This window comes from Homo sapiens, chromosome 14 (assembly GCF_000001405.40).
Source record: "Homo sapiens chromosome 14, GRCh38.p14 Primary Assembly".
Lineage (NCBI taxonomy): Eukaryota > Metazoa > Chordata > Mammalia > Primates > Hominidae > Homo > Homo sapiens.
Window position 1 is genome coordinate 90,691,991 of NC_000014.9, and position 23,511 is coordinate 90,715,501.

General features: G+C 40.6%; 1 protein-coding gene and 1 long non-coding RNA gene across 4 annotated transcripts in view; one reads left to right on the forward strand and one right to left on the reverse strand.

Moving 5' to 3' along the window:
• TTC7B (tetratricopeptide repeat domain 7B) overlaps window positions 1-23,511 on the reverse strand; it is a 291,867-nt gene that overhangs the window by 167,427 nt on the left and 100,929 nt on the right. For all 3 annotated transcript variants that reach the window (NM_001320421.2, NM_001010854.2, NM_001401365.1), the window contains exon 6: window positions 3,510-3,588. In NM_001320421.2, coding sequence (NP_001307350.1) covers window positions 3,510-3,588 — 79 coding nt within the window. The remainder of the gene's footprint in view (window positions 1-3,509; window positions 3,589-23,511) is intronic.
• On the forward strand, window positions 5,343-7,384 carry TTC7B-AS2 (TTC7B antisense RNA 2). Its single transcript, NR_135190.1, has 2 exons — window positions 5,343-5,674; window positions 5,763-7,384. It is a non-coding gene; the product is annotated as a TTC7B antisense RNA 2 (long non-coding RNA).

Below are 23,511 nucleotides of genomic sequence, written 5' to 3' on the forward strand. Positions count from 1 at the left end.
TTACTTAGCATAAAGTTTTCAAGGTTCATCAGTATCATCGTGTATGTATCAGTACTTCATTCTTTTTTATGGCTGAATGATATTCCATTGCATCGATAAACCACATGCTGCTTATCCATTCTTCAGTTCTAGACATGTGTATTGCTTCCAACTTTTGGCTATCATAAATAGTGCTGCTACGAACATCCATGTACAAGTTTTTGTTTGAACATCTGTGGTTTTTTTTGTTTGTTTTGAAACAGGGTCTCACTCTGTCACCCAGGCTGGAGTGCAGTGGTGCAATCACACATAGCTCACTGCAGAACACCTGTTTTTAATTATTTGGAGTATATACCTAAGAGTGGAACTGTTGAAAATATACTTTCAAATCCTTCTCTGCTATGATCTCACACCAGATAGAGTTTACAAAGCAACTTTTCCATCTCATAAGAATATTATAAATTTGCAATTATCAGCTAATCTTAAAAAATCATAGTTTTTAAGGCTGATGGAAACACTGCTTATGAATGTCATTAGATGGAGAAACTTTCTAACGTCCAATGTAAATCAAGATACCAGTGAGAGTCAACAATATGAACAAATGCTCCATACTTAAGCAATTTTGAAAAACTGACTTTTTAAATGCGCTTTTAAAACAATTACGAAAACACTTGCCAATTCAGTCAGTTACTTTCATTGTGCTTCCAAATCTTGGAAGAAGCTGTTCATATTGACCAGTTGGGAAGTTTTATGAATACTGAGAAGAGGTAAATTTGAGAGAAAAGACAGCTGGCAACAACTTTTATCCATATTCTTGTAGGTTCTTTTGCCTTGAAGAATCCTAAAAATGGAAATATTTTGTTTGAACTTCTTAAGGCACCTATAAATCACATTGATATTTAAGTAAATTTTGAAGGCCAACTGAGCTCTTGGTGGTGGTGATGGCAGGGTGTGTGTGTGTGTGTGTGAAGTTGTCCATCCTGTCTCACCCCCATAATTCTAGGAAAGCCCAGCTTGGCCATCTGGCCCCATGAGTTGTACGTCCACCTCTTAAAACTCTGCAGACACCACAATGAAGTCATTTCCTATGACATGAATCTCTTAGCCATGCCCAACTGAATAATCTCCTACAGCATTTAAAGGATTCATGATAAAGAAAGGACAAAAGTATGGGCAATAAAAGATAAATTGCAATCTTACATGAGGTTGTTACATCAACTGTGACATGTGGCATTTGCTTAGTTTTAATAAGCACCAGTCCTCCACTCAAGCACCCACTGGCTATGGCTGTGTAGGGCAAGTTATAGAGGTCTACCTAATGAACGTCCCTAGATAGGAAAGTGAAAGGATTAAAAAAAGAAAAGAAAGAATTCAAGTCAACAGGAGAGTCAAATTGCTAACCAACCAGTTAATTTAACTATGTTGTATATTTTTCTTCCAAGTTTTATAGTCAATATAATTAGCCAAACAACTAGCAGCCCTCGGGATCCAATCTGCCTTATTCTGTCTGGGTTTGGTATGAATCATAAGCATACACCAACCCCTCAACACCCTGGCAGCCACGAGGGCCTACATTCTGCCTGCCTTAACAGGTGCAATTCTCAGGTTTCAGCAGAGAACGCTGCCAACAACACAGGAAAGGATGCTCAAAATCATTAGCCATCAAGGAAGTGCCAATCAAACCACAATGGAATATCACCACACTCCCACCAGGATGGTTACACCTAAAAAGATAATAACAACTGTTGTTGAGGGTGTGGAGAAATTGGAACCCTCATAACTGCTGGTGGGAATGTAATATGGTACAGCTGCTTTGGAAAACAGTCTGGCAGCACCTCAAATTGTTAAACACAGTTACCATATGACCCAGCAATTCCACTTCTAAGTATACAGCCAAGAGAAAGAACACATAAGTCCACACAAAAACTTGTACATGAATGTTCGTAGCAGCATTACTTGTACTTGCCCAAAAGTAGAAACAACCCAATGTCCATCAGCTGATGAATGGACAAATAAAATGTGATATATCCACACAATGGAATATTATTTGGCAATAAAAAGGAAAGAAATACTGATCATGCTGTGACCCAGAGGAAGCTTGAAAGCATTATGCTAAGTGAAGAAAGCCAATCACAAAAAGACTACAAATTAGTCAGGTGTGGTGATGCGCACCTGTAGTCCCAGCTACTCGGAGGCTGGGGCAGGAGGCAATGAGCCAAGATTGTGCGATTGCACTCCAACCTGGGCAACAGAGCGAGACTCTATCTCAAAACAAAAAAACAAAACCACGAATGGTATCATTCCAGTTATAGCAAATGCCCCAAATAGGCAAATCCATAGAAACAGAAAGTAAATTAGTGGTTGCCAGGGACTAGGGGGAGGGGAAAATGGGGATTGACTACTAACGAGTATAGAGTTTCTTTTGGGGGTGATTAAGATGTCCTGAAATTAAATATTAGTGATAGCTGGACAATTCTGTGAATATGCTAAAAACTTTAAATGAGTAAACTGCTATTTATATATTATAAATATATGTCACGTAAATATCCATTATGACACAGAAGTGAAAGGGCTTGCGCAAGTTCACAAGCCCAGTGACATATATGTATAATACATATATGTCACATATATTATAAATATATGTATAATATATGTCACATATATTTATAACACATATGTCACATATATTTATTATAAATATATGTATATTTTTATTTTATTATAAAATATATTTTATTTTATTATAAAATAGGTATATTTTATATACATTTTATTTTATATAAAATAAATAAATATACATATAAAATATGTATATTTTATATACATTTTATTATAAAACATGTATATTTTATATACATATATATGTCACACATACAATATATGTGACATATATGTACATAAATATATGTCACATATATTTATAACACATATATGTCACATATATTTATTATAAATATATGTATAATATGTCACATATATTTATTATAAATATATGTATAATATATGTCACATATATTTATAACACATATGCCACATATATTTATTATAAATATATGTATATTTTTTATTTTATTATAAAATATATTTTATTTTATTATAAAATATATTTTATTTTATTATAAAATATATTTTATTTTATTATAAAATAGGTATATTTTATATACATTTTATTTTATATAAAATAAATAAATATACATATAAAATATGTATATTTTATATACATTTTAGTATAAAACATGTATATTTTATATACATTTTATTATAAAACATGTATATTTTATATACATATATATGTCACACATACAATATATGTGACATATATGTACATAAATATATGTCACATATATTTATAACACATATATGTCACATATATTTATTATAAATATATGTATAATGCATATATGTCACATATATTTATAACACATATATGTCACATATATTTATAATACATAAATGTAAAAAAATATGAATGTAAATACCTATGAGACAAGTGCCCTGCTGGCCTCAATCAAGTCACTGTTCACACTTACCATTCGCAGGTTTTGAGTCGTTCTTGTTTCAACTGCTCTGAGAAGCTCTCTAAATCTTCCGACTCCTCTTGTCAAGTTCCTGTGTGGACACAGAATTTGACGGTTTTCATCTGGCATGTATTAATATTAAATATTTTATATGCACGTTTCAATGCATTTTGTCTGCATAAAAGCTGTTGGCTAGATTTTAAGCAAACGATTACTCTGCACATGCCTAGCCATCTTTGGTTAAATGAAACATTTGACCTAAGATTGATGGCCTTTTGTGTTTTCTAACCCCTAGCACATTTTCTCTAAAAAATAAAAATTTGAAAATCAGTTGAAGCCAACAAATTAAAAAGCAAGATACCTTAGAAGAGTCTGTGTTCAAACTCTCAATGGCTCTATAGAGTGGGACTGAAATCTATATTTTCATTTAAAAGGTGGGAGACAACACTGGGCAACAGGGCACAGGAATATGAGCAAGCACCGTGTGCAACATGGGTAAGGATAAAATATGAAGATGGAAGGCACAAAAAAACAGGAACTCCACCAAGCAACCACTCTGCATCTTTGAGAACATAAACTTATCAAACCCAGTAAATTCATCAAACCAACCCTCCTCCAAACCCCACACTGACGAAAAAGAAGCAAAGGGTCAGAGGCCCCTTCTGAGAGCGAGCATGTGACAACTGGAACCCGAGCTCCCTGAGTGTGAGCAGAGCACACCTCATCTCGCTGCCACTCACACCCCACAGGGACACATTTGGTGACATGTTTCATTAAGAGACAAATAATTATTTTGTAACATCCTGGTCAATATTTTCAAGCCCCACTTGTCCTCTCTGAAAGCTGCATCCAGCCTGCTGAGCTGGGAACGCTCCCCAGCTGGTCCCTTTACATTAAGCACGGCCACCACCTATGACATAACTCGGCGATATTTATAACCTGCTCATTAGAACATATCTCATCTTTCCAAAAAGCCACAGTGTGGGTCAGCCAGTGCAAACGTGTCAGCCAGCCTCTGCAGGCCGTGGCAGATGCTCTAGGTATTTGGCTCTCTTCTTGGACGACATTTTGAATCATGCAAAGATATTAAATCAAACTGAATGTGGGTTCTGTAAGTTACAAGCACTCATGAGGGCTATTAATTCGCATCTTATACCTACATGACATCCCAGGGCTCTCATGCACAAGAATGGCCCCAGAACTTTAAGATAATGATTTATTGGCATAGGTACATAAATACTCCCATAGTCCTCTCACCCACACATATCAGATGATATCAGATCAGAAGCTTGATGGTGGCATAAAAAGAGAAGCTGTGCTCAGGATGCCAAGCAGCACTAAAGGAAACCTAACAGAGACGTGAATAAAGATTAGGTAACAGGCCCTGGGACATGCAATCTACTCTGCTTTCTCCTTCATTTGTTTTTATGGGATCCATGTTCACAGGCAACAAAGTACATTTGCTTTGGACTGAAGCTCAGTTCTCTTAAGTAACACGGCGGGAAGGAAATAGCTACAGCTAAACAAAGGATGGGAATGGATATGGTAGTCTAACTTTGTTCCAGAATCACGGATTAAACTCCTACTGGGTACAGAAGGGATGGTACTTTGAATTGTATGAAATAAGCTGTGACTGAGGCAACATAAGTGGAGACCCTGGTTGAAGGGGCTGATTTACCAGGTAGAAATCAGGCCTGGAATAAGCAGGATCAAACCTAAATATTGTAACCCAGGGAAGCCTACAAATAGGAACTGGTCATTCAGAATGTTTCCAGTGTCCTAGGAAACAGAGTAAGCTACTTAGACAGTTACAGAAGCACAGAATTTTCCAGCTATAAATGATCCAACAGAATCTGGTCCGTTATGACACAGAAGTGAAGGGCCTGCTCAAGCTCACAGGCCCAGTGAGAGAGTGAGCTGGGAGCTTTCTACCGTACTCTGTTACCTTCCTGGGTACACATAAGCTCTAAAACAGAAGTGTAACTCTAGAGGAAGGAACAAAATATGAATCCAAGAGTTCAGGTCTATGTTTTGCATCATTAATATGCAAATTACTTCATATATTTATAACATAAATTCTGTGTGTCCCAGTGATGACAGCTAATAAGATACTCATTACTGGTCCAAAACTGGAAAGAAAATCCGTTGGCCCAGGTGAAGAAGTCCAGTGAATGCGGGTAATGCCCTGGGCTGCCGAAAGAGATCAATGACGGGTAGAGAAATTCAATTCCCCCGTTAAGGTGCAAGACGGTTTCTCCCATGCAGGACCGAGGCCCTCTGGTGGAGGAACGGAGGAAGTCTCCGCCCCGAAGGAGGCCAGGCAGGATGAGGCAACACCAGCCACTGGGTGCGTATTCCCAATTAAGCCTTTGAAGCAAATACAAGTTTTTCTCAAACTGTTTCCAGTTTATTCCTGGAGAGAGTTTAAGATTCAGAAGCAAATTCTTCCTCAATCTGGGAAGCATCTGCTTGTAAACAAAGAAGCCACAGTAACCACAGAGCTGAGAAGGCCTGAAGCTACAACCCATTGCAATGAATGCGGCACCCAGAAGGGTGCCCGCCCCACCACAGATCAATCGGACAGCAAGAAGAGGTGAAACAGGCACATCTTAAAGTGCCCAAATGTAAAAGCATGATTCCCAGGAAATCCTGTCTTCCAAACATGTTTAAATCACATAATCATAATTTTATTCAACTAATCGCTTCCACTGTTGCCATGAGAGCAGAAAAGGAAAAATGTTCAAGTACACGGATAATCAGAACAAAAAAAAGAGGAAGTTAACTTGCAAGAATTCTATTCCAAATGCTATGAGATAACCCAATTTGAGAGAGGCAAACAAAACCCACACGATTGCTTTCATATCTTCAAACTGTTAGTTAATTCTTAAAATGTTGAGATCAATTAAACATCTAAGAAGGAACTGTTGCTTAAAACTCCACTCAAAATGAAGATAAGAGAGCCAAGGAATCTCCCAATCTCCCTGTTTTGAGGGTTTCCACAAATCCCTGACATTAGGTCATTTATTCCATTTCAACACCCTTGCCTGAGAGAGTGCAATGATGTCAGAATTCATTATGGTAAACTATTCTCAAAACAAATGTTCCTGCCAGCATTCACTCAGCGGGCACTCTGGCAAGCTGTCAGAACTTGGGGTTCATCTCCTGCACTTTACTTCACAAGCTTCCTGAGCTGGGTGCATTTCCTTCCACTTGGAATCGTTCCCAACAGCTCGGCTGGGACCAAGGAGGAAAGGGCCTGCAGGTCCCCGGAGCACCAGCTGCTCGTTCCGCCTGACAGGCAAAGCTCTGCTTCCGCTCACCAACATCACTGTCCTCAGCCCATTATGGAGAGCTCAGGCCAGAGTCCCACAGCCTTGCTCTCATTCAAATCCTTGTTTTTCCACTGGCAGGAAAGCCTACCACTTTTCATGGGGACATAGTCTACTCTTCCCTTGACCTACTTCCATCTTTTCTTCTCTCCTATCTTTTCTATCTGGTTTTATCCTCCTCCTGCTGAACCTCCTTCCAGGGCTTGTCTGCTGATTCGCCAGCATTCAACCCTCCCTCTCGACCCTCTGTCCTGGCGATAGGTTCCAGTTCCCCCTTGGGCCCCATGGCAGCACCTTTCCAGGCTCTGAAATGTACATTCTAACGTACAAGCTTACCGCACCTGGTTTCGTCCTGTTCTATGACTCTGAACCACATTCTCGGCTCTTTAATATTGCCATCTGTCCCTCTGTGATCAAACCAAGGAGGAAATGTAAATGGGAAGAAGGCCAGAGCTCCAAAATCAAAATGGAAAACCAAGGCTAGAGAAATTTGGGGACATGAGAATCATTTCAGCTTGTAATGAGTGGCTACTTCAATAATAAGCTCAATACATTTTTGTTGTGTTGTTATTTCTCCTTTTATTTCTTGGGAGTAGGGTGGGAAAAGACAATTCTTCCCTTTAACTTGTCCTTCCAAATTATCTTCAGACCTCAAAATCTGACCTAGGCACCAATACACTTAAATTCAATATCACCTGTCATTGTCGTGGAAACTCAAAGTAGTAGTGTGAATAAAAGACTGGGTCAATTTCCTGGGTAATGAGGAAAAGGAGGCCTGCTAGAGTCTATTCAATATTTTTTTCTCTTATGTGGCTGAGAATCTTATAACTAAAGATCAAACACAATAAGTCAACCCAGTAGATCTCAAAGAGCAAAGAAACCGTCTGCCTTTCTCCATGTTTTCTTCTCACCAACCAGCACTCCTGAAATGCTGAAGCACTAGGTTACTTCCACAATGACTGAGCAATGTTTCTCAGCCAAGGCCAGGTTGGTCCCTGAGGACACACTGTTGAGCAGGGGACACCGTCCCTGCCTCAGGGAGCTTAGATGGCTTCACATCCCCACAAAAATGTAAGTGCCTCCAAGACAGAGGCCTTGGCTTTATTCACTGACATAACCCAAGCCTCTGAAACGGAGCCTGGCATACAGGAAGCACCCAATTAATATTTGTTGAATGAAAAAGAACCATCATGAGCCGAATGAACCAAGACAATGAGGGGATACATTTCCTACCCGTTTCTTTTCTCCTTCTTTCTCACTGAACACAGTTCAGCAGGCAGCAAAGCACTGCACTCTCTTAACTAGAACAGCCTAGTATGCCCTCGGGGGCTTTGCTTATAGCGTGGAGACCTGGGGGAGCAGTACTCCTACACCAGTGGCATGCCCAGCCTAGCAGTTTCTAGAGAGCTACGTGGATAATGGAGATTTTGAGGTTTTTTAAAGAAAAGTTCCAGGCATTTCAGGGAAACTTTCCTGCCCTTGTGCCTTCACACTTGCTCCTCTGTCTGCAGGGTCAAGACCCAGGGCTGAGGCCAGCCTAGATAGCACTTTATACCTTTCCATACTGATTTTCATTTGAGTTTATATCTGTTCACCAACCAAACTGCAATCATTGTGAAGGCAAAGGCCCCCTGTGTACCCACCACTCCTTGTCTCAACTGCCTTACAGGGCCAGCCAGTACCAGTGACGTTTAACAAGCTGGGCACCCCCAAAAGAAAGAAAAGAGTGAGCACCATCTTATATTCCCAGACCCCTTTCCCCATCTCCTTGCTGAAAAGAGTTATCTCAGTTACAAAGGGAACAACTAAAGCAGGTACTTGGTATACCATGAGATACATCCCATCATCATATACGTATACCCTTATGGTATGTATCTGCTTTTCCAGAGTTGTAAGTGTTGACAAAGACAATGTCATTCTGGATATTGTCAACACTTACAACTCCGGAAAAGCAGATACATACCATGTATCTTCTAGGTCCATCACTTTTAGTTCTCAGGCTTGAGAATTTACGTAACCCTTAGTATCATCTATCTTGAAAAAGGCTGAAATCAAAACCAGATACCCAGATCTGGAAAGTGGGAGAAGAACAGATACCCTTCACAGTCCAAAAGGACACTGTGGCCGGCTGTCAGGGAGCTGTTTTTCCCAGAATGGAGTCCAGCTTCCCCCTCTGTACATACTCTCCTCCTCATATCCAATGACACGCATTTGTGAAGACAGATGGCTTGCTGCAGTCAGGGGCCAGGGATCAAACCCACAACCTTGGCCTCGTTAGCGAAGGGCTCTCTCTTACCCATGGAGCAAGCCAGCTGCAGCCTGGATATAGTGACGGAGGGTGTGACAGCCATCCACGCCGAGATGAGAACAAGCAGGCGAGGCTTCCGGATGTCTCACCTCAAACCTTATGAGAGCTGTACTGGGCTTAACAACATTTTTTGGACTACCTCAGCAATTGAGGCTTCCTCGTGACAAAAGCAGAGTCAATTATACATTTGGTCAGCCGGCCAGGCAGCACACAGTACAGGGAGTAGGGACTACGGCCCAGGCAGTGTAAGTGGCACCAGACACATAAAGTCAAAGAAGTCACAGAGAGTGGCTTCTTGGAGTTCATACTTCAGGGGCCAGGACAGGAACACATAAACAAGTCCTTCCAACAGGCGTGCACAAGGCCTAAGAATGAAAAGTGGCCAGACTGCTCTGACAGCCCAGCCAGAAGAGCAACTCGCCTGCCCTTCACCTGTCCCCTCCACTCCCCTAAGCTCCGAGTCTCTGAGAAACAGGAAGTGTAGAAAGCCTTGCCCCATCTCACATCCTTCCTTTCAACCTCTGGGAATGAGTCAAAGAATATCAGTACTCATTCCAAAAGAAACGTATATATATATATATATATACACACACACAAATATATATTTCTCTCTCCATATATATCTGTGTGTGTGTGTATATATGTGTATATATGTATATGTGTGTGTGTGTGTATATATATATATATATATATATATGGAAAGAGAGAGAGAGAACACTCATACCTACTATGCACTAAGAAGTGAGGCACAGTGAACGCAATGGTAAGCCAGTCAGCAGACGTGAGTCCTCATGAACTTGTATTTTAATGATGTTCAGTTTAACCCTAATGGTATCCAAACACACTTGGACTCCTCAACCTAATAATACTTAAAACAAACCAATCCGAACTTATCTATCATATAAGGATTGTCCTTCACCCGGGAATCCATATGTTTATCTATATACCCGAATGTAAAGAGACAAAATAGAGTCATGGTTACAGACCCTGGAGCCGGACAGCATGAGTTCAAGTCCAAGCTTTGCCATTTATTAATTGTTGACCTTGGGCAAGTGCCTGTGCCACAGTTTCCTTATAAAATGGAAATAACAACTGTACCCACCTCATTTAACCATACCCACCTCACTGCTGTAAGAATTAAACTAGTCAGTAACAACTGTATTGCCCTCATTGGGTAACTGTACCCACCTCACTGTTGTAAGAATTAAACTAGTCAGTAACAACTGTACCCACCTCATTGAGTAACTGTACCCACCTCACTGTCGTAAGAATTAAACTAGTCAGTAACAACTGTATCCACCTCATTGATTTGTTGTAAGAATTAAACTAGTCAGTAAATGTAGGAAGTGCTTTTTAAGTATTTGCCATTATTACTTCTGTTAGCCTCAAAACTCTATCATTGTTTTAAAAAAAAAAAACTTTTGGAATTCTGGAATCTGTTTTCCAGTCAATTTATAGCATATGAAAATCTGCTTTACTTCTTTGAAGTCATTTAATTTTGAAGGAAAAAAGATATTCCCCAGTTTGATTCATTGATCCTCTTTGCTATTTACTGAAAGTCTACCATGTCCCAGGAACTCCCTATGTAATTCCCAGGTCTGGCTCACAATGACAAAAGACAACCCATGTCAGGTAAGAACAGTAAAAAACTTTCTCTGGGGCCTTGTGGTCACCCTCCTGGGAAATGATGTGACATCTCCTAAGAGTGCTGGTGCCCCTGACGGGGGCAGGGGAACAGTCTCCAGCCACGGCTTTGGGGTGGGGCACGGACAGATGACCGCGTGTCTGGCAGGTGTGAATCCTGACTGCTCCATCACACTTAGCACAGTGAGCGTGTGGAGACTGTTCTGAGTTCATCAAGAAGGGCCAGATCACACTAAAAAATTTGAACTCAAAAGTGAACCACTAAAGCTTTATGAGCCCATAACACAAAGCTGGAGAGGAAAGCTCGCCACTTCCACTGGGGAAGTGTCTGCTCCAGACCTGGCCAGAGCTGGAAGACAAGCATGAGGGCGGGGTCCCCGTCAGCCTGCTTCATAAGACGGGGCTCAATTAGCTGCACAGAACACTGATGGGCACAGGCCAACAATATTCGTTTTTAATAGTCCAGAAAAGTGCAGAAAAAAGACAATCTGGAAGGTAAAAATGTCCTGCTAACAAAATGACTTCATTCATCAATTCTGAGTGGCAAAGTCACATAGGAAAAGAACTTCTGGCCACCCTGTCCATCCCCTCGACTGGGCTATGGAGAGGAAAAAAAGGCAGAAAGGATGTCAAGGGGAGGAAAGTCCCTCCAAACGCACCACAAGCACTTGAGCTGGAAGTTCGAGTGTGAGGATAAGAGTGCAACGTTCACTTCCATTCAATTGACAGGAGAACTGCATTTCCAACACAACTCTGGCGACCACATTTCAAAGCTAGAACAGTGAGAAAAAAATCCAAGGGGATCATTTGAAAGAAAGGGAAAAAAAAAGACCATTACATGTGCAGGGGTCAGCAGTCCAAATGGCTGCAGAAGCCAAGCAGGTAGCAGAGGTGGGTGAAGACAGACTGTGGGACGACAGGCGTCGCAAGCCTACAGGCCTCCAGTTCAAAACCATAACATAGAAACTCAACAGGGAAGGGAGGCTCTTTGCCATTAAATTGGTAAATAAAAGCCTCTGATATTTTTCTTGGGGAAACAAAGCAGTGCTGCTCAGTTTGAGGCAGCACAGTGCCGATGGGATTGTCACACATTCTCAGGAGTGGGACCAGATAACCCGCTTGGGCCTGGGAAAGGCAAATCTGCTGGGGAGAGAAGACAAAAAGGGCAAAGGTTGAGGAGGCTCATGAGAAGAAGGACTGGAAGTGAGCATGGAATGTGAGCCATCTGGGAACATGGCAAGGGGAACAAGTACCAGATGCCAGGCATGCACTGAGATGGGGAAGGACTGGCCAACGGGCTTCACCTTGTCTCTTCCTCATCTGCAAAATAGGACTAACACCTACTTGCCATATGCAATGAGATGGCACCTGGAAAGCTTCTGACTCCATGCTCAAAAACACGTGAATCCTCCGCCTTTCCCCAACCAGCTGCTACGTCCCACCATCCGGCCCTTCATTCCACATACAAACATTTACTGGCTAAAAGCCAAAAGCAGCCACTGGTGTGATTGTGAACCTTTGGTTTAATAGAAAACAGTGCAGAATCTGAACCGGTTTCTACGATGTACTACACCAAACTCTTCTTCTCAATTGTAGCTTTATACATGAGGAAACACAGGCTTAGAAATAACAGGGAACATGCCCATGATCACACAGCCCACAGCAGAAGAGCTGGGATTTGAACTCAGGCCCTATCTGATGCCAGTGCTAAGGGAAGGTGAAGATGATCCCTGTCGTGCAGAAGCCTGCAGTCAAACTGGAAAATGTGACTACCTCCTATGACGCAAAACAAAGGCATCCCAGGGACAGGAGAGCAGCCTGGGAAGGCTCCCAGCGGCACAGGCCAGCTGAAGTCTCTGAACCTAGACACATCTGGCTGCAAAGAACGGGATGGGATCCCACTGGGAGTGGGTGACAAAGGGGTAGCAGAGAATTTATGCTGAGGCGTCTGAGCTTCACAGCAGAAACAGGACTCAGAAGAAAGATGGTGTCGGGGAAAAAGACTAACATTGATAAGATGGCGACAACACAGAAGACGCTCTGACCAGAAGTCAACCCTCTGAAGTCAGTTCTTTCATCGCACAGCACCTCATTTATTTGGCTTTCCCAGTCAGAGTTCACACTCACTCACTCCGACGCGAAGCTCAGGTTTACCTTGGCTCTATCTACAGAAAAGAAAAAGCTTTGCTAAGCACATCAGCAGAGCAAACATGATCTGTGAGGAGAATATTTAATTTGCTCAGGGGAATAAGCTATTTCAAGCCCCTCTAAGCCATCCAGAGGAGCTGCCATTTACTAACAAACCACTGACATGGTAATTAAAATTATTTCACTCTCTCATCAAGAAAGTCCCCACAAGAGACTGGGCTTCTTCAGGACAGAGACTGGGTCCCTCCCACTAGGATGGAGTATGATCCAGCTGCACACCTACTCATGTAGCTGTTGTGAGGATGAAAGGTCACAGTCACTGCCCAGGAAAGGTCAGCCATCATCTTCTTCTGAGATACCACTAACTGGTTCCATGCCATTCCCCAACTCATTATTCCAGATGATCTGCCAGCCAACCTAGTGACACAGGCAGGAATTCGTTACTCGCAACTGATAAGGAGGGAAACTGAGTCCCAGAGAGAGAAGAAGGGAGTCTGGCCCAACAGCTCTAGGAGGGGCTGAGCCAGGACCTGATTCCCACCCGGCCTCTGGGTTCCCAGGGCAGGGATTCCCTCCCCTGCCCTCTGCTGGGTACTGTTCTAGCCCATATTTCATTGACCCCCTCAATTCTTTCTTAATATTTTATTCGATAAAATATAGATACCGAAAGCCATATAAAACAATTGTATGGCGTAAGGGACTATTAGAAGGCACACACCATGTAACCACCACCAAAAAAAATAAAGACACCGCCATTCACCACATGCCAATGAACAGCCCCCTCCAACTAAAAGTAACAACTACCCTGACTTTTCTGGTTAATTGCTTTGTTCCTCACGTAGGCATCCCTACCCTATAGCCTTGTCCACTTTTTTTCACTTGACGATTCTTCAAAATCGCTCCTACTTTACACCTTCCCCACTACCTCTTTTTCTTACAACTTATCTGCTAGAGAAAACCTGAACTGTTCAGCCTATAGAGTTTCCCACTGGCTAGAAAACTGCACATTCATGCTACAGTTCAATACATGCCTCTGTTCTCTGTATTTCCTGCAATTTGGCAGCTAGATCCGCAGGCTTGATCAATTCAGGGTCGATCCCTTTGGCAAGACTTCAGCAGTGTTGTGCTCTTGTTCTGACATTAGCAGCCCTTGGTATTCAACACTTTCAGCATCAATCTCCCGGGAGTTACTAAGTGGTGACATTCTAATTCTCCCACTGCATTTTCATTTATTAGCTGGAATAATTTTTTTTTTTTTTTTTTTTGAGATGGAGTCTCGCTCTGTTGCCCAGGCTGGGTGCAGTGGCGCAATCTCGGCTCACTGCAAGCTCCACCTCCCGGGTTCACACCATTCTCCTGCCTCAGCCTCCTGAGTAGCTGGGACTACAGGCACCTGCCACCACACCTGGCTAATTTTTTTGTATTTTTAGTAGAGATGGGGTTTCACTGTGTTAACCAGGATGGTCTCGATCTCCTGACCTCATGATCCACCCGCCTCAGCCTCCCAAAGTGCTGGGATTACAGGGGTGAGCCACCACACCCAGCCCTGGAATAATTTTTATAAGATGTTTCATCTAATATTTGGCTTTCCAGTGGCTTAGTACACATAGTAAAATGTTTTATGTTTTCCATTTATTTGCTTAGTTTTCAAAATACTGAATTAGAACTCATGAACTTAAGCTCATTTGATTAGTCTATTGCAATTTTTACCCTTCTTGAAATTCAAACTATCCTATATTTGACCCGAGTCCTTTTAAAATGACCTAGGAATCTTTGATAGCTTCTTCGCTATACGGATGTAGGTAAAGGTGTTCCAGGCTCATCTTATACATTTCCTGCCCCAGAACTGGCATGAGGTTTCTTTTATTGAAAGCTGATACTTCAAGATCAAATCTAGGAGCTAGGGATGTTCACTGCTAATGGTTCGGTCACCTTAGCGAGAACTCTCTCTCTCACATATAAACACATACACACATACATGTACATATGTGTGTATATGCACATGCATATACATACACACACATACATAGACACAAATACCTCAGATTTCATACTGATATTTCCAATTTGATTATTCAAATTCAGGACTACAGTTTTTCCTAGACTACTTCTATCTTAAATCTGCTTTTTCCTTTCTTCCATAGCAAGAATATTCATTCTCAAGGACACAGGGGATGATGGAATTAGAACATTCCATAACTACTCAGTTGCTTTATTCCGTGTTATATGAGAAGTTTCAGAATAATACTAATAATACCACCATCAATTATTTTCATCATCTGTTATCAGTGATCTTTGATAATACCATAATTGTTTGGGGGTGCCACAAACCATGCCCACCTAAGATGGCAAACTTGATCAATAAATGTTGTATATGTGCCCCACTGACCAGCCATTTCCCCATCTCTCTCCCTTTCCTTGGTCTTCCCTATTCCCTGAGACATAATATTGAAATGAGGCCAATTAACAACCCTACAATGGCCTTTAAAGTTCAAGTGAAAGGAAGAATTGCACATCTCTTACTTTAAATCAAAAGCTGGAAATAATTAAGATTAGTGAGGAAGGTCTGCCAAAAGCCAAGATGGGCTGAAAGTGGGGCCTTTTGTACCAAACACTTAGTCAAGTTGAAAATGCAAAGGAAGACTGCTTGAAGAAAATTAAAAGTGCCTACTCCAGTCAACACACAAATGATAAAAATAATTTTTTAAAAAAAGCAAAAGAGCCTTATTGCTGATAGGGAAAAAGTCTGCATGGTCTGGATAGAAGATTAAAGCAGCCTCAACATTCCCTTAAACCAAAGCCTAATCTAGAGCAAGGCCCTAATTCTCTTCAATTCTTTGAAGGCTGAGAGAGGTGAAGAAGATGCAGAGGAAAAGTTTGAACCTGGCAGAGGCTGGTTTATGAGGTTGAAGGAAAGAAGCTGTTTCTATGATATAAAAGTGCAAGGTGGAAAGGTGTGGTGGCTCACGCCTGTAATCCCAGCACTTTGGGAGGCCGAGGCGGGCGGATCACGAGGTTAGGAGCTCGAGACCAGCCTGGCCAACATAGTGAAACCCCACATCTACTAAAAATACAAAAAATTAGCCAGGCGTGGTGATGGGTGCCTGTAATCCCAGCTACTCCAGAGGCTGAGGCAGGAGAACAGCTAGAACCCAGGAGGTGGAGGTTGCAGTGAGCCAAGGTCACACCACTGCACTCCAGCCCAGGCGACAGTGCGAGACTCCATCTCAAAAAAAAAAAAAAAAAAAAAAAAAGTGCAAGGTGAAGCAGCAAGTGTTGATATAGAAGCTACAGAAAGTTATCCAGAAGTTCTAGCTGAGGTCATTAATGAAGGTGCCTATAGTAAACAACAGATTTTCAATGTAGATGAAACAGCCTTCTATTGGAAGAAAATGTTATCTACGACTTTCGTAGCTACAGAGAAGTCAACGCCTGGCTACAAAGCTTCAAAGGACAGGCTGACTCTCTTGCAGGAGCTAATGCAACTGGTGACTTTGAGTTGAAACCAATGCTCATTTACCATTTTGAAAATCCTAGGGCCCTTAAGAATTATGCTAAATTGACTCTGCCTGTGCTCTGTAAATGGAACAATAAAGCCTGGATGAAAGCACATCTGTTTACAGCATGGTTCACTGAATATTTGAAGCCCACTGTTCAGATGCACTCAAAAGAAAGGATTCCTTTCCAGATATTACTGCTCATTGACAATGTACCTGGTCACCCAAGAGCTCTGATGGAGATGTATAAGGAGATAAAAGTTGTTTTCATGCCTGCTAACACAACATCCATTCTGTAGCCCAAGGGTCAAGGAGTAATTCTGACTTACTGTTTACCATAGATAGTGATTCCTCTGATGGATCTGGGAAAAGCAAATTGAAAACCTCTGGAAAGGAATCTACAATGAACTCAAACAAATTTACAAGAAAAAAACAAACAACCCCATCAAAAAGTGGGTGAAGGATATGAACAGACACTTCTCAAAAGAAGACATTTATGCAGCCAAAAAACACATGAAAAAATGCTCACCATCACTGGCCATCAGAGAAATGCAAATCAAAACCACAATGAGATACCATCTCACACCAGTTAGAATGGCGATCATTAAAAAGTCAGGAAACAACAGGTGCTGGAGAGGATGTGGAGAAATAGGAACACTTTTACACTGTTGGTGGGACTGTAAACTAGTTCAACCATTGTGGAAGTTGGTGTGGTGATTCCTCAGGGATCTAGAACTAGAAATACCATTTGACCCAGCCATCCCATTACCGGGTATATACCCAAAGGATTATAAATCATGCTGCTATAAAGACACATGCACACGTATGTTTATTGCGGCACTATTCACAATAGCAAAGACTTGGAACCAACCCAAATGTCCAACAATGATAGACTGGATTCAGAAAATGTGGCACATATACACCATGGAATACTATGCAGCCATAAAAAATGATGAGTTCATGTCCTTTGTAGGGACATGGATGAAGCTGGAAACCATCATTCTCAGCAAACTATCACAAGGACAAAAAACCAAACACCACACGTTCTCACTCATAGGTGGGAATTGAACAATGAGAACACATGGACACAGGAAGGGGAACATCACACACCGGGGACTGTTGTGGGGTGGGGGGAGGGGGGAGGGATAGCATTAGGAGATATACCTAATGCTAAATGACGAGTTAATGGGTGCAGCACACCAACATGGCACAAGTATACATATGTAACAAACCTGCACATTGTGCACATGTACCCTAAAACATAAAGTATAATAATAAAATAATAATAATAATTTCTCAACCTGAAAAAAAAGAATATTTATGAGCAATTACATAATTTGTATCTTAAAGAGTGGTATTATTTTATAATGCTTTTGTCATGGCATAAGTCTAGCATAATATTAATTGACATCAACCCTTATTTATATATAATTTATGTTTGAGGGCTCAAATCTAACCAGTGGCAAATCCAAGTTTATGTAAAAATTAAATCTCTTCTAATGAGTGCAATTTCATGTGCATTTTTATAGTTTCTCTTTCGTTAAAAAAAAAAAAACCTTATGTGCCAGAAAAAAAAAAAAAAGAAAAGAAATTGTATTTTCAGGCTGCTAACTGTCAATATTTTGGATAAACTTTTCTACTTGAAAAAAAAAAAAAAAGAAAACCTCTGGAAAGGATTCACCATTCTAGATACCACTAAGAACACTTGTGATTCATGGGAGGACATCCAAATATCAAGAAGAACTGGAGCTTGGAATAAATTGTTTCTAGCTCTCATGAATGACTTTGAGGGCTTCAAATCTTCAGTGGAGGAAGTAACTGCAGGCATGGTGATAATAGCAAGAGAACTAGAATTAGAAGTGGGGCCTGAAGATGTGACTGAACTGTGGCAATCTCATGATGAAACTTGAATGGATGAGGAATTGCTCTTACAGATATACAAAGAAATAAGTTTCTTGAAATGGAATCTACTCCTGGTGAAGATTCTGTGAACACTGTGGTAATAACAACAAAGGATTCAGAATAGTATATCAACTTAGTTGATAAGACAGCAGTAGGGTTTGAGAGGATTGATTCCAATTTTGAAAAAGTTCTACTGTGGGTAAAATGCTATGAAACAGCATTGCATGCTACAGAGAAATCTTTTATGAAAGGAAGAGTCCATCAATGTGGTACACTTCATTGTTGTCTTATTTTAAGAAATTGCCACAGCCACCCCAAACTTCAGCAACCACCACCCCATCAGTCAGCAGGTATTAACATCAAAGCAAAACCCTCTACCAGCAAAAAGATATGACTTGCTGAACGCTCAGACGACTGAGCATTTTTTAGCAATAAAGTATTTTTTAACTAAGGTATGTACTCTTTTCTGGACATAATGTTATTGCATACTTAACAGAATACAGTATAGTGTAAATATAACTTTTATATGTGCTGGGAAACCAAAAAATTCATGTGACTTGTTTTATTGACATTATTGTATGGTCTGAAACCAAACCTACAATATCTCTGAGGTAGGTATTCAAACTTCTGAAGAAAAAACAAAAACAACAACACCTTGTCAATCAAGAATTCTATATCCAGTAAAACTATCCTTCAAAAATGAGGAAAAAATAAAAACATTCCCACCTAAGCAAAAAGTGAGAGAATTCATTGTTAGTAGACCTGCCCAATACAAAATTTTAGGGAAGCCTTCAGATGACAAGCAAATGATATCAGAGGGTCATAGGAATATATAGGAATAAACTAATAAAAGCACCAGAGATGTAAATATGTGGGTAAATATAAAAGACTGTATAAATATTGTTTTATCTTTTCTTCTTTTAATATCTTTAAAAAATAACATTGTGTAAAGGGAAAATTAATATATTACATTGTTTTTATAACACAAAGAAGACGGGGGAAATGAAGCTATATTGGAGCAAAGTTGCTAGTACTGAAATTAAGTCAATACTAACTTGAAGTTGACTGTGATAGTTTAAAGATATATATTATAATCCATAGAGAAAACAGAATTATTTTTTCTCCCGATGGAGTCTCGCTCTGTTGCCCAGGCTGGAGTGCACTGGTGCAATATCAGCTCACTGCAACCTCTGCCTCGCTGGTTCAAGCAATTCTCATGCCTCAGCCCCCCAAGTAGCTGGGATTACAGGTGCCCACCACCATGCCCAGATAACTTTTGTATTCTTAGTGAAGACGGGGTTTTGCCATGTTGGCCAGGCTGGTCTCAAACTTCTGGCCTCAGGTGATCCACCCGCCTTTGCCCCCCAAAGTGCTGGGATTACAGGCGTGAGCCACTGTGCCCAGCTGAAAACAGAAAATTTTTTCCAAAAAAATGCAGTTAAAAATCAACAGAGGAATTTAAATGGTATACTAAAAAACTATTTTTTAACAACCATTAAAAAGGGTAGAAAGGAGGAATGAAGAATCAAAAAAGACATAAGACATACAGAAACAAAGGGCAAAAATAGTAGGTGTAAATCCAATCATATCAATAGTTACATTAAATGTGTATGTATACAATCCATTCAAAAGGCAAAAAGGTTTATACTAGATTAAAAAACCAAGATCCACCCATATGCTATGTATAAGAGATAGAGACACTTTAATTCAAAGACACAAATAGGTTGAAAATAAAAGGACAAAAAAATATATTATGTAAACAGTAACCATAAGAGAAGTAGTGTGGCTATATTAATACCTGGTAAGACAGACTTTAAATCAAAGAATATTACTAGAGACAAGAGGCATCTATCAAAAACCTACAGCTAACATCATACTTAATGGTGAAAGACTGAATGCTTTCTAAGATCAGGAATACAATAAGGATGTCTGCTCTTGCCACTTTTATTCAACATTGTACTGGAGATTCTCGACAATGCAATAAGGCAATAAATAGAAATAAAAGGGATCGAGATTGAACAGAAAAAAGTAAAATTGTTTATATTCACAGATGACATGATCCTATATGTAAAAATCCTAAGCAATCTATTACAAAATTATAAAAATTAATTCAAGAGATTAGTCAGTTTGCAGGATACAACATCCATATATAAAAATCAAAAGTTTTCAATAACAAAAAATAATTTGAAAATGAAATTAAGAAAGCAATTCACAATCACATGAAGTGAATGAAATACTTAGGAATGGATTTAACAGAAAATACAAAAGCTGAAAACTACAAAACATTTTTGAGAGAAATCAAAGAAGATCTAAATAAATGGAGAGAGGTTGGATTAGAATATTTGCTACTGTGAATCTGGCAATTCTGCCCAAATTGATCTAAAGATTCAGTACCACCTTTATCAAAACGCTGGCAGGCTTTTTTTTTTCTTTTTTGACAGAAATTGGCAAGCTGATTCTAAATTTTATGGGGGAATGTCAAAGCCTGAAAATAGCCAAAATAATTTTTAAAAAGAACTAAGTTGGAGGACTTATACTACCTAATTTCAAAACTTACTATAAAGCTACTATATTCAAGACAGTGTGGTATTGGCTTAAAGACAGACATACAGATCAATGAAACAAAATAGAGACTCCAGAAACAAACCTTTATGTTTATGTTAAATTATTTTTTTTTACTAACGTGTCAATGCAATCCAACGTGAAAAGAACAGACTTTTCAACAACTAAATGAGAAGACAACAATCCAATTGAAAACAGGGCAAAAGTTTTGAACAGACATTTCACCACAGAGGAATACTAAGAATACCTTTTTTTTGAGACGGAGACTCATTCTGTCACCCGGGCTGGAGTACAGTAGAGCAATCTCGGCTCACTGCATCCTCCACCTCCCAGGTTCAAGCAATTCTTGTGCCTCAGCCTCCCAAGTAGCTGAGACTACAAGTGCACACCACCATGCCCCACTAATTTTTGTATTTTTAGTAGAGACAGGGTTTCACCATTTTGGCCAGGCTGGTCTTAAACTCCTGACCTCAGGTGATCCGCTCACCTCAGCTTCCCAAAGTTCAGGGATTACAGGCATGAGCCACTGCGCCCAGCAAGAATGCTCAGAAGCACATGAAAATTTGCTGAACTTTGTTAATCATTAGAAAAATGTAAATTAATTAAAATCACAATGGGATACTACTGATACTACTACAAACTTACTAGAATGGCTCTAATTCAAAAAACTGACAATGCCAAGAGCTAAAGAGAAAAAAAGCTGGAGCTCTCATACATTGCCGGCAGGAACGTAAAATGGTACCATGGGATGGTTTCCTAAAAAGTGAAACACAAACTTACCATATGACCCATCAATCCCACTCCTATGAATCTACCCAAGGGAAGTGAAAACACATGTTTACAAAAAGATCAGCCCATGAATGTTCACAGCAGCTTCATTCATAATAGTCAAAAAGCAAGAACAATCCAAATGTCCATCAGTTGGTAAATAAATAAACAAAAATGTAGTATATCCATACAATGTAATAATAATGACAGCTCCACAATAAAAAGGAATGACCTGCTGATACATGCTACGATGGGAGTGAACCTCAACAACAGTATGCCAAGTGAAAGAAGTGAGACACAGGCCGGGTGCGGTGGCTCACGCCTGTAATCCCAGCACTTTGGGAGGTGGAGGCAGGCAGATCACCTGAGGTCGGGAGTTCGAGACCAGCCTGACTAACATGGAGAAACTTTGTCTCTATTAAAAACACAAAAAAATTAGCTGAGCGTGGTGGCACATGCCTATAATCCCAGCTACTTGGGAGGCTGAAGCAGGAGAATCACTTGAATCCAGGAGGCGGAGTTTGCAGTGAGCCGAGATCACGTCATCACACTCCAGCCTGGGCAACAAGAGCGAAACTCTGTCTCAAAAAAAGAAAAAAAAAGTGAGACACAATCAACTACGTATTCTATGATTACATTTATGCAAAATTTCTAGAAAAGGCGAATCTATAGACACAGAGCCACAGAGCAAATAAGTGGTTGCCTGGGGCAGGGGGTGGCAGAAGGAATTGACGAACAGGCACAAGGAACTTTTCGAGCTAAAGGGAATGTTCTGAAACTGAATTGTGAAGATGATTGCACAGCTGTATAAATTTTTTTTTTTTTTTTTAGAGATAGTCTCACTCTTGTCGCTCAGGCTGGAGTGCAATGGCGCAATCTTGGCTCACTGCAACCTCTACCTCCCGGGTTCAAGAGATTCTCCTGCCTCAGCCTCTCGAGTACTTGGGATTACAGGCGGCTGTCACCAAGCCTGGCTAATTTTTGTATTTTTAGTAGAGATGGGGTTTCACCATGCTGGCCAGGCTGGTCTTGAACTCCTGACATCAGGTGATCCACCCACCTCGGCCTCCCAAAGTGCTGAGATTATAGGCGTGAGCCACCATGCCCCGCCTATATACATTTATTAAAAACAACCAAATTGTATAATTATTATAGGGTTTTTAAATATGTGAATTATACACAAAGCTGCTTTTAAAAATATAGCAGCTTCCTCTATGACAATTCCTGGCTATCTCCCCCTCCCCAATTTTCATCTCTATTTTCTCATTCTTTCACCTCTTACATCACTTCTTGATCAATTTTCACTCTGCTCTCAGCAGTTTCTCTTGTAGCAGGGCCCAGTCCCAGAACAGAGCCCTAGTGAGTCAGTTTCAAGTCATCAGAAGGGCCTGACTGCTCTGGCCCCTTAGACCTTGCTGGGCAAAAATCCTCTCATTTTCAGCTGCTTATCTCAAATTGGCCAGACAAGCTTCCCAGTAAATAGTTGATGGCTATTTTAGGGTCTCCTGTTCCCAGACCCATCCGATGCCCTGTTGCACACAAATGCAAATAATATGCCAGCTGTGAAGCTGTTGGTAGTGTGTCCCCATCAGCTGGTATGTTGGGGCTCATGAGGATACTCTGCCACCTAGTCTAGCTCTAAATGTTGTTCCTGAGCTTTTGGGTCTGCTCTCTAGTCGCTGTGTCTTTTTTTACGTGGATATAGGAGAAGACCCAGAACTACGCTGCCACTGGTGCTGCCACCTTCTCAGATTTCTTAGCTGCAAATTCTTGCCTTTCCCTCTATGGGAGCTGGAAACCCTCTACTCTGTAGGGTTTGATTTATTTATTTATCAAACCCTTACATAGTACTTGCT